At 38.2% G+C, this 12,258-nt stretch overlaps 1 protein-coding gene across 11 annotated transcripts in view; it reads left to right on the top strand.

Moving 5' to 3' along the window:
* Positions 1-12,258, top strand: part of ARID4B (AT-rich interaction domain 4B) — a 161,278-nt gene that overhangs the window by 140,274 nt on the left and 8,746 nt on the right. For 9 of the 11 annotated variants that reach the window (XM_024447626.2, XM_047422531.1, XM_011544212.4 and 6 more), the window contains 2 exons: positions 5,113-6,321; positions 9,993-10,106. In XM_024447626.2, the coding sequence (XP_024303394.1) occupies positions 5,113-6,321; positions 9,993-10,106 (1,323 nt within the window). Of the gene's footprint in view, positions 1-5,112; positions 6,322-6,721; positions 6,836-9,992; positions 10,107-11,002; positions 11,159-12,258 lie in introns of those variants that run through there. The other 2 variants (NR_135074.2, XM_047422532.1) reach the window with 2 other exon arrangements.

The following is a 12,258-nucleotide window of genomic DNA, read 5'->3' as shown; positions in this document are numbered from 1 at the left end:
ATCCTTTCCCATATTTTTCCTGTTAGTTCAACAATGAGTATCATATTTGCATACTTTTAACATTTTAAGTATTCTCTTCATATTTTCTTTTTTCAGTGAATTTTATTTTTTATCTTTGGCCACAGATCAAATTGAAGACATTTCAAATATTTCCAGTTAATTAATGATCATCATATGAATGCATATGTGTATGTATATGTATACATAAAAATTTGATGCCCCTTGTGAGTAGAGAACACAGACAGCTAAGATTCTATCCTCTTGTCCTGAGATGGGTTGGGAATAAAACTAGAGGTACAGTGGTAGTTGGAGTTCTGTGGAGAAATTGAATGTCTCTGGAGAATAATCTTCTACATTCTGGCAGTGGAAATCCCCTAGAGTAAACTAGATCCGGGATGAATCACGTAAAGCCTATCAGTTAATAAATCCTACTAACAGTAGTGTCAATCAAGTTTTAATAGGGCATTCTTAATCATCTCTTGTTAATCTCAGAGAACCTACAGTATCTATAAAACAAGAATAAGCTGGGCACGGTGGCTCACACCTGTAATTCCAGCATTTTGGGAGGCCAAGGTAGGCGGATCACCTGAGGTCGGGAGTTCAAGACCAGCCTGACCAACAGGGAGAAACCTCGTCTCTACTGAAAATAGAAAACAGTTAGCCGGGTGTGGTGGCACATGCCTGTAGTTCCAGCTGCTTGGGAGGCTGAGGCAGGAGAATCACTTGAACCCACGAGGCGGAGGTTGCGGTGAGCTGAGATCACGCCATTGCGCTCCAGCCTGGGTAACAGGAGTGAAACTCCGTCTACAAAAAAAAAAAAAAAAAAAAGAATAAGATGCAGTGAAAAAGAAAAGAATAAGATGCAGTGAAAAAGAAAAGAACAAGAAAGACTTGGAGATAAAAATCTAAAGGCCAGGCACAGTGGCTCATGCCTGTAATCCCAGCACTTTGGGAGGCCAAGGTGGGCAGATCACTTGAGGTCAGGAGTTCGAGACCAGCCTAACCAACATGGTAAAACCGTGTCTCTAATAAAAATATTAAAATTAGCCGAATGTGGTGGTTGGTGCCTATAATCCCAGCTGCTCAGGAGGCAGAAGCATGAGAATTGCTTGAACCTGCACCACTGCACTCCAGTCTGGGCAACAGAGAGAGACCCTGTCTCAAAAAAAACAAAAACAAAAAATCTAAATTAAAATTCAGTAGAGCTGGGCACAGTGGCTCACACCTGTAATCCCAGCACTTTGGGAGGCCGAGGCAGGTGGATCATCTGAGGTCAGGAGTTTGAGACCAGCCTGACCAATAGGGTGAAACCCCATCTCTGCTAAAAATACAAAAATTAGCTTGGCGTGTGCCTGTAGTCCCAGCTATTGGGGAGGCCGAGACAGGAGAATTGCCTGAACCCGGGAGGTGGAGGTTGTAGTGAACTGAGATCTTGCCAGCGCACTCCAGCCTGGGCAACAGAGCGAGACTCTGTCTCTTAAAAAAAAAAAAAAATAAGCAAATTCAGTAGAGCATTAAGAATTTTAAATGGAGGAAATCTTCAGAAAGTTTAAAAGAGCAGTGATGGAAATTTTAGAGAAAAGATAGGTTACATAATGTATTAATCTAGGAAGGGGGAACTATGAAAACAGAGGAGAGAGGCCAGGCGCGGTGGCTCACGCCTATAATCCCTGCACTTTGGGAGGCTGAGGTGGGCGGATCACGAGGTCAGGAAATCAAGACCATCCTGGCTAACACGGTGAAACCCTGTCTCTACTAAAGTACAAAAATTAGCTGGGTGTGGTGGCATGCACCTGTAGTCCCAGCTACTCAGGAGGCTGAGGCAGGGGAATCACTTGAACCTGGGAGGTGGAGGTTGCAGTGAACTGAGATTGCACCACTGCACTCCAACCTGATGACAGAGCAAGACTCAGTCTCAAAAAAAAAAAAAGCAAATAACTAAAGAAAAATTCCAGAACTGACAGACACAAATCTTTACATTGAAATTGCTCACTAGGTACCGAATAAATTAATAGAGTCATACCGTAGTACATCATTATGAAATTATAAAATATCAAGAATGAAAAAATCACCACAAAGGAATGAGAAACCAAAGGAAGGTTATGGCTTATAACCCCTTAAGCAAAGAAGCAATACATTCGGAAGGATTCAGAACTCTGAAGGAAACAATTTTTAACCTAGAATTCTGTACCTCGTGAAACTCTCAATCAATGAAGTTTGAGGGTAAGGATGTATTCAGATAAGTAAGGACGATGAATATTTATATCCCATGTACCTTTTTAAGGAAACTACTCGATGAGCTCTAGTACAGATGAGATAACCAAGGAAGAAGAAGATGTGAGATTCAGTTAACAGTGGACCTAGCTCAAAAGAAAGCAGTGAGGAGGATTCCCCGGATGACAGCTGTTAGAGCAGACCCAGAGAGATACCACCCAGATGCTACTGCAGAAAATAGCTCTCTAGGGTGCAGAGATAGGATGAATAAGGGGAAATTGGATACAACGCTTAATTTAATGAAATAAAATAATGTAAAAGAGATACAAAGGAAGATGTAACATGCAGAAAAGTAGTTGGAAACTCTTGGAAAAATAAAATGCTGTATAAGAAAGGAAGTTTATCAAATGTACTACTTATTTCTGCAGGGAACCACATTTACATATGTTATAAATACTATATTGTAAAAATGAAAGATAACTATATATAGAAAGGATGGTAGAGGGGAGATATGGGTGTTGATAAGTAAGAATCCCCATTGCTCATAGAGGATAAACTTTATAAATAAGTCAGCAGGCCAGGGACGTTGGCTCATGCCTATAATCCCAGTGCTTTGGGAGGCTGAGATGAGCAGATCACTTGGGGTCAAGAGTTCGAGATCAGCCTGTCTAAAATGATGAAACTTCATCTCTACTAAAAATACAAAAATTAGCTGGGCATGGTGGCATGTGCCTGTAGTCCCAGCTGCTTGGGAGGCCGAGGCAGGAGAATTGCTTGAATCCAGGAAGAGGAGGTTGCAGTGAACTGAGATCACACCACTGTACTCCAGCCTGGGTGACAGAGTGAGATTCCGTCACACACACAAAAAAATAAATAAAACAAATAGTATATTATGAATAGTAAGAGATGACTATAACTATCAGATGTTAACACTTTGGAGGTGGAAAAACAGATTTTTATCCTCTTTTTGGTTTTTCATTATGAGTCTAGATTTGTTTTTAATGATGTATATGTATTGTTTTGATAATTTAAAAAATGTGGCCATGCAGACACACATTGTAAAGGTGAAATGGTTTCACAATCTTAGTTATGTCAGTTATGTTTTACATTTAATGAATTTAGCTAAAGAACATGCATGGATTTCTCAGTAGAGAGCTATAGTTAAGGTTGTAAGTTCTGGAGTTAAATGACTTAGATTTAACTACCTTGGGGGGTAGATTAACCTCTAAACCCCAGTCCCTTTTTTTTTGCTTTGTTTTGTTGTGTTGCTTTTTGTTTGTTTGTTTTTCTTATTTATTTAAGACCCTAGTCTCTTGAACTATAAAGTGGGGCTGATAACATGTATCTCGTAGCATTGTTCTGAGGATTGAATGAGATGGTCTGTTCAAAGTGTATCAAAAGTAACCAGCATGTAGTAAGTTCTCAGGAAATGTTATCTTAAAATAACAATAAAATGATTTACCAGAATGAACACACTGAAGCAGTAAGTTCCATAATTAATTTTACATAAGTTATCAGTAACTAAAATTAATTATATCTATTCTTTAAAACATCATGGAAATCATTGATTACAAAATTATTGGATATTCATTATTACATTGAAAAATGAAGCTGGCCAGGTGTGGTGGCTCATGCCTTTAATCTCAGCACTTTGGAAGGCTGAGGTAGGCAGGTTGCTAGAGCTCAGGAGTTCAAGACCAGCCTTGGCAACATGACGAGACCCTGTCTCTACAAAAAATACAAAAATTCACTGGATGTGGCACACCTGTAGTCCCAGCTACTTGGGTGGCTGAGGTGGGAGGATCATTTGAGCCCAGGAGGTTGAGGCTGCAGTGAGCCATGATAGTGCCTGGGGAACAGAGTAAGACCCTGTCTCAGAAAAAAATAGAGAGAGAGAGAGAAATAAAGAAAGAGAAAGGAAAGAGAAAGGAAGGGAGGCAGGGAGGGAAAGAAAATAAAACAAAACAAAACAAAGGAAAGAAAAATGAGAGGCCAGGTGCAGTAGCTTGCTCCTGTGATCCCAGCTACTCAGGAATCTGAGGTGGGAGGATCTCTTGAGCCTAGGAGTTTGAGGCTGAAGTGCACTGTGATTGTGCCACTGCACTCCAGCTTGGATGAGAGAGTGAGACCGTCTCTGATGAAAAGAAAAATGAAGGCTATAGTTTCATAAGAGTATAAACTTGGGGCCAGGCGTGGTGGCTCACGCCTGTAATCCCAGCACTTTGGGAGGCCGAGGAGGGCGGGTCACGAGGTCAGGAGATCAAGACCATCCTGGCTAACACAGTGAAACCCCGTGTCTACTAAAAATACAAAAAATTAGCCGGGCGTGGTGGTGGGCGCCTGTAGTCCCAGCTGCTCAGGAGGCTGAGGCAGGAGAATGGCGTGAACCCAGGAGGCAGAGCTTGCTGTGAGCCGACATCACGCCACTTACACTTTTAGCTTGGATGACAAAGTGAGACTCAAAAAAAAAAAAAGAAGAATATTAACTTGGAGGTAGCACAATCTGGGATTATATCCTGACTCCACTATTTTCTCAGATATATTATGATAAAAATATTATACTTATATAAACTTGGAGAAGCTTTTTTCTTTTTTATTTCAGCTTTATTAAGGTACAGTTTACATAAAAGTGATGACTTTTATGTTTAAAATGTGATGGGTTTTGACAAAAGTATACAGTGTTACAACCATCACCGTGATCGTAATAGAACATTTCCATCATTGGAAGAGCCTCTTAGCCTCTTTGAAACCCAGTTTCTTTGCATGTTACATAGAGATAAAAGCCAGCAACCTCGGGTGGCTGTATACACAGGACCTAATATATACAGTCCCTGGCACATAGAAGACATTGCTAGTGTTCTTATCATACTCATCATTTTTTTTTCTGTTATTTTCTAGCTTCTGAAAGTTCTGCTGAAGACAGTGAGCAGGAAGATGAGAGAGGTGCTCAAGACATGGATAATAATGGCAAAGAGGAATCTAAGATTGATCATTTGACCAACAACAGAAATGATCTTATTTCAAAGGAGGAACAGAACAGTTCATCTTTGCTAGAAGAAAACAAAGTTCATGCAGATTTGGTAATATCCAAACCAGTGTCAAAATCTCCAGAAAGATTAAGGAAAGATATAGAAGTATTATCCGAAGATACTGATTATGAAGAAGATGAAGTCACAAAAAAGAGAAAGGATGTCAAGAAGGACACAACAGATAAATCTTCAAAACCACAAATAAAACGTGGTAAAAGAAGGTATTGCAATACAGAAGAGTGTCTAAAAACTGGATCACCTGGCAAAAAGGAAGAGAAGGCCAAGAACAAAGAATCACTTTGCATGGAAAACAGTAGCAACAGCTCTTCAGATGAAGATGAAGAAGAAACAAAAGCAAAGATGACACCAACTAAGAAATACAATGGTTTGGAGGAAAAAAGAAAATCTCTACGGACAACTGGTTTCTATTCAGGATTTTCAGAAGTGGCAGAAAAAAGGATTAAACTTTTAAATAACTCTGATGAAAGACTTCAAAACAGCAGGGCCAAAGATCGAAAAGATGTCTGGTCAAGTATTCAGGGACAGTGGCCTAAAAAAACGCTGAAAGAGCTTTTTTCAGACTCTGATACTGAGGCTGCAGCTTCCCCACCGCATCCTGCCCCAGAGGAGGGGGTGGCAGAGGAGTCACTGCAGACTGTGGCTGAAGAGGAGAGTTGTTCACCCAGTGTAGAACTAGAAAAACCACCTCCAGTCAATGTCGATAGTAAACCCATTGAAGAAAAAACAGTAGAGGTCAATGACAGAAAAGCAGAATTTCCAAGTAGTGGCAGTAATTCAGTGCTAAATACCCCTCCTACTACACCTGAATCGCCTTCATCAGTCACTGTAACAGAAGGCAGCCGGCAGCAGTCTTCTGTAACAGTATCAGAACCACTGGCTCCAAACCAAGAAGAGGTTCGAAGTATCAAGAGTGAAACTGATAGCACAATTGAGGTGGATAGTGTTGCTGGGGAGCTCCAAGACCTCCAGTCTGAAGGGAATAGCTCGCCAGCAGGTTTTGATGCCAGTGTGAGCTCAAGCAGTAGTAATCAGCCAGAACCAGAACATCCTGAAAAAGGTGAGAAGGAAAATGTGTATGTTGACTTATTTTAGGGTTTCCCCTCTTAAAGTTTCAATGATTTCACAGTATCTCTTGTTATAACCTGAGGCGATTAAGTGTCATATTTGTGTGAACATGGTAAAAATGGAAATTTTAAAGGTAATTTGAAAATGAATAGTGGAATGCATTTAAAAGCTTGAGAAGGCTTTAATGTGCTTTGCTTGAGCCATCCATGGCATTTTATTGTGGACCAGAACACATGCTAGAAATTGCACCCAGGCCCAAATCCAAACCTGTTTGAGAATTCATTATATGCAGTGGTTGACTATATGGCATGAGCAGCTTAAATCTATTTCTGTAACATTGTTTTTGCAATTGTAATGTGCAGTTTCTCACGAACATTTTGATTTATTGACAGACCCCTCCACCCTTAACCAAATACTGTATGTAGGGGTTTGGAGCAACCAACTGTCCAGGCACTGCTTTCCTCAGACAACCGTGTCAAACTGATTTTCAAGCCTGACTAACTTGTGTGAGTTTGTAAAGGAATTTGATGCTTTCTTAGATGCATAGCTTCCAAATTGAAGGACCAATGTGTACGTTAATAACCTACAGTAATACTTTTTTGATTTTCCGTGAAATTGTTAAAAGTGGAAATTCAAATCGGTACCTTCCCAAAGTATTAGTGCCTTTCGATGGTGCCATAGCCATACTTCTGTCATCATTTTTCTTATAAACCACTTCATTCAGGTATCTTTAAATCAGTATACTCTAGGCTGACACCTGGCTTTGGAACACACTTTTCCATCGTAAAGACAGAGCACTGGAGTATGTTTTTTATATACCGTAAAAGATTTTAGAATGCTAGCTTTAGGTTTTCAGCAAAGCTTAAAGAGATATGGTCTAGATCAAATTAGTTAATTCTATGTTTTCTCAGGAATCTTGACTTAAAACATTTCTGTTTTAAAATAAATTAAAAAAATACTTGCAATTAAATTGAAATGTTCTTTGCTTTTTTTCACATTTACAAGTATAACTACTATGATTTTATCTGTGCCATACTATCTCATGCAACTGAACTATCCAGGCATGACTAATCTTCAAAATGAAAGAATCCTTTATTTCAGAATATTAGGCTTTCAACAGTAAGATTTTACTGGCCAGGTGTGGTCACTCACACCTGTAATCCCAGCAATTTGGGAGGTCTGGGAGGTCAAGGCGGTGGATCGCTTGAGTCCAGGAGTTCAAGACCAGCCTGGACAACATGGCAAAACCCCATCTCTACCAAAAATACAAACGTCAGCCAGCTGTGGTGGCGCATGCCTGTAGTCCCAGCTACCTTGGGGGCTGATGAGGGAGAATCACTTGATCCCGGAAAGGCTGCAGTGAGCCAAGATCACGCCACTGCACTCCAGCCTGGGTGATAAAACAAGACCCTGTCTCAAAAAAAAAAAAAAAAAAAAAAGAAAAAACAAGAAAAGAAAGAAAAAAACAGGTTTTATTGTTATAGGTTTTCTTGGGGGTTTTTTTTTTGAGATGGAGTCTCGCTCTGTTGCCCAGGCTGGAGTGCAGTGGTGTGATCTGGGCTCACTGCAACCTCCGTCTCCTGGGTTCAAGTGATTCCCCTGCCTCAGCCTGCTGAGTAGCTGGGACTACAGGCGTGTGCCACCATGCCCAGCTAATTTTTTGTATTTTTAGTAGAGATGGCATTTCGCCATGTTAGCCAGGATGGTCTCTATCTCTTGACCTCATGATCTGCCTGCCTTGGCCTCCCAAAGTGCTAGGATTACAGGCATGAGCCACCGTGCCTAGCCTATTGTTGTAGTTTTTAAGAGGTTGTATCCTTATTATGTTCGTAATATCTTACAAAAGATTAAAATTAACAACAAAAAAAAAGAGGATATCTTCTCTGCTAATAGACTAAGTCAACACTGCCCTTTTGAATCTTAATCTTGACTAGGTTAATAATTGTGGAATTTGAAAGCTACTCCTAAATTTAGGGTAATTTATATCTCTTTAGAAATAATTGGTGTTTTTCTTTTTGTTGGGTTTTTTTTTTTTTTTTTTTTTTTTTTTTGAGACATAGAGTTTTGCTCTTGTTGCCCAGGCTGGAGTGCAGTGGTGCAATCTTGGTTCACTGCAACCTCCACCTCTCAGGTTCAAGAGATTCTCCTGCCTCAGCCTGCTGAGTATCTGGGATTAACGCCCGGCTAATTTTTGTATTTTGTTTAGTAGAGATGGGGTTTCGCCATGTTGGCCAGGCTGGTCTACGAACTCCTGACCTCAGGTAATCCACCTACCTTGGCCTCCCAAAGTGCTGGAATTACAGGCATGAGCCACCGCGCCCAGCCAGAAATAGGTTCTTAAGCACCTGTTTCACATGGCCACATTTTAATAAATTTACTTACTATGAATATTGGAGACTCCCCACTATATCACAAGTTAAAATTTAAGTTTTACTATTTAGATGTAGTTTTTTCCTCTTAATTTACTCTACATTGAAGGTTTTTATTTCTTAGTATCTGAACACTTTAGAATTAAACTCTCTTGGAGAGAAACCTGACAATTATGGTTCTGTGCTTCAGTATGGTCAATATCTACGTCTCCTTTATGTTTCACTTAAATTGTGATATTAAAATGACATTAGGTGGGTCACATACTTGGTGTAAAAAATAAAAAAGAAATATTAAAAATTTAAAAAGGTATTAGGAAAAGTTGTAAGTAAGATTATATGACCCATTAAAAAAAAGCTAGGAAGTTGCAGACAGTTAATTACTTGTCCTGTTTTTGATCAAGGAAGTTAGGTTTTATACACAGAAGGTTGATTTGGTGTCTGACATTGGAACTGAATGGAGATAGTACTTTATTAGTCTCTGGAGAAAAAATCTTACTTTATATAGTCTGAGAGATAACATATATGAATTAGACAGAAATATAGCAGATGTTAAGGACCAAATGAGTAGTATAGAAAAATGCTACAGTTCAGAGTAGTGATTGATCAGTGAAGCCTGGAACATCTTAGTGAAGATGTAGGACTTGGGCTAGTCCTTGAAGAAAAGGGAGACATTTATTTGTAATGTTTTGCAATAATTTCCCACCAAGAAGATGAGACGTTTTTTAGAACTACTATGTTGGATTTGTAAATGGTATGCATGTTAACCAAACAGTGCCCTGGGAGCTTAGTTATTCTTGACATAAATTGGTAAAAAAGAACCAAGTATGAATTACTGCTAAAATTTACCTCATTTATATCATTTAAAAATTATATTAATATGATTATAAGACATAATGTCATTAACATTTTAACCTGTGATTAAGTCTTAATATTTTGGTTTTATTGAATCTTAACAAATTTCAGTTTTTATTTTCAGCATATACTTTTAATTACTAGGCTTATAAACTCCCAGTACTATATTAAGGACTATTTTCAGTTTATATCTGATTTTTTTAAAGAAGGATGTGCATACTTTGTTTGCCTTTTTAAAAACCCTGACTTTTATTATGTATAAGAATTGAGCTTCCATTAATGACAGTTTATTTAAAAATTGTAGTAAGTTCTGTGACAACTTATAAATGTCATAAAGAACATGTAGTTTTGGATTGTTCTATGTTTCTAAAATGTGGAATTAATTTATACTTAGGGAATGTTGGATTTTATTTTGTGTTACTTAATTCCTTTCCCTTCATAGCCTGTACAGGTCAGAAAAGAGTGAAAGATGCTCAGGGAGGAGGAAGTTCATCAAAAAAGCAGAAAAGAAGCCATAAAGCAACAGTGGTAAACAACAAAAAGAAGGGAAAAGGCAGTAAGTGTGAAATCTCTAATTTTTAAAATATAAAAATAATAGCTGATAATTTTACCCCCAGTAAGAAAATGGTATTCAGGGTATGGGATAGTACACTATTTTGATTTTGTCTGTACACTCAAAAAAAGTCACACAAATTCTGTAAGGCTACTTGCTTTAAAAAACAAAATAGACAAAAAAAAAACATGCACTAGGACAAATACCTAATGTAAATGATGAGTTGATGGGTGCAGCAAACCAACATGGCACATGTATACCTATGTAACAAACCTGCACATTGTGCACACGTACCCTAGAACTTAAAGTATAATAATAAAAAGAAAAAAGAATTTCTGCAAAAACAAACAAAACAAAACAAAAAAAACACAGGTTTTCTAATCTTAGGTAAATTCTAGTTTTAAGCAAGTTGGTGTTATTCAGCGGTGGTATTGATTGCTGATGAAAAATCAAGTAATCTGTTTTTGAAATAATAGCCAATATATTATAAACATCAACATATTTGTTACCTTTGTATTCCACAGTTCTTTTCACTTGCTATAAAATGTATCACACATTGTGAAATATTTCAACTACATGTTATTTTTATTACAGTGAAATTGATTGCTTAGTAATTCTTCAAGGCAAAATCAGCATAGAAGTATAACAATCAAGATAACTTTAGAACTATAATTCCAACAACTCCAGTCTACAACATTTGTCTTTGGTACTCTATATTATGTGACCTGAGAGTAACTACAAACAATACTTTTTGCTAAGTATGCTCCAACTTTAGCAACGACTCCGTGCATCAATCCACAGAAAATATATATACTGTATTTCTTCTGAGGGCTGCACATTTTATCTCTCTTTTGTAGACAAAGTAAGAAGCAGAAAATATGTAAAGAATTTTTTTTCAGGTGCCCCACACTGACCTCCTGCTGCTCTTCCAGGAGACTCCTGCCACCTCCACTGCCTGACCTTTGCTAGCAGCCGGCTTGGCTGCACTTCAGTGCAGAAAAGGGTTATTCGGCCAGCTCCCCGAGGTTCTGCTGAGCCCATATGACTTCCAGGCGGTGAATATGGCGTCCCTGGGGCCCCGGGCGGCTGTGCTCAGCAAGGCCATGAAAGCCAGGCTGAGACAGTCCACTGCATAGAGTGGGGCCAAGCCTTGGGTGGCTTAGCTAGGAGTTGCCAGGGGTTCCAGAGCAGCAGTGGGGGAGCTGGGAGGGAATTTGTGTATATGTGTCAACCAGTGGTGGAGTTTCTTTATTCCCAAAATTTCACAGTGGGAGGAGTTGCTGCTATCTACCTTTACTATTTGGAATAATTTCTGGCTTTGAGAGTTTAACTCCTTTTTTTTTTTTTTTTTTTTTTTTTTTTTTTGGTGATGTTGTTAAGTGAAAAATCAGTAAATATATGCCAAATCAGTCAGTCATCAATTGTTTGGTGTAACTGGTAGGATATTTAAAGTGTTTTTTCTTTCACTGTGATGTTTTTGTCTTCAAGAGTTTACTATTTAAATGACATTTCCTAAGAGAGCGCATCTTCAATGAGTTATTTAGTATATTCATATAATACAGAGATATAGTGTTCTCCCATTTTACTTATTGGGATTCTGCCATGGTAAATCAGAATGAGTTAACCATTCAAGAGAATAATTTAGTAACATGAATTAATTCTGATGGAATCTAAACTAATACTTTGTATCCAGAAAGAGGTTATCTATGGAAATACTAATCCCATCACCTACCTGTTCACATGGTAAGCTGTCAAGGTCAAGTATTTCCATTTTAGTGCTGAAGTTTAATTAGCAATAGCAGTTGTAACATAATTGTTACACAGACTTCTGAATTGTTCATAAAATACTGAATATTTTATTAGGGTGAAACTGATTATTTTAGTCAACCCACAGCATAGGAGTTATTTAAGAGTAATTTCATTATACATATCAAACTTCAGAGTTTATTCCCGAGGAGTTCTTTATTGAATATGATGATTGTGCATCATTATTTGTTTGTGGCCAAAGGAGCAGGAAAATGTTGCATATACCCAATGTTACATATTCATTGTAGAGGTTTCTACAATTAATCATTTTAAAAGATGATATATTTTATGTATTAACATAATAGAGTAAAAAGCCATTCAGATGATTACTGTATATTTGACAGTCTAC

Source organism: Homo sapiens, chromosome 1 (assembly GCF_000001405.40).
Source record: "Homo sapiens chromosome 1, GRCh38.p14 Primary Assembly".
NCBI lineage: Eukaryota > Metazoa > Chordata > Mammalia > Primates > Hominidae > Homo > Homo sapiens.
The sequence above is the reverse complement of the archived record's forward strand: the minus strand, read 5'-3'. Positions and strand labels throughout refer to the sequence as shown.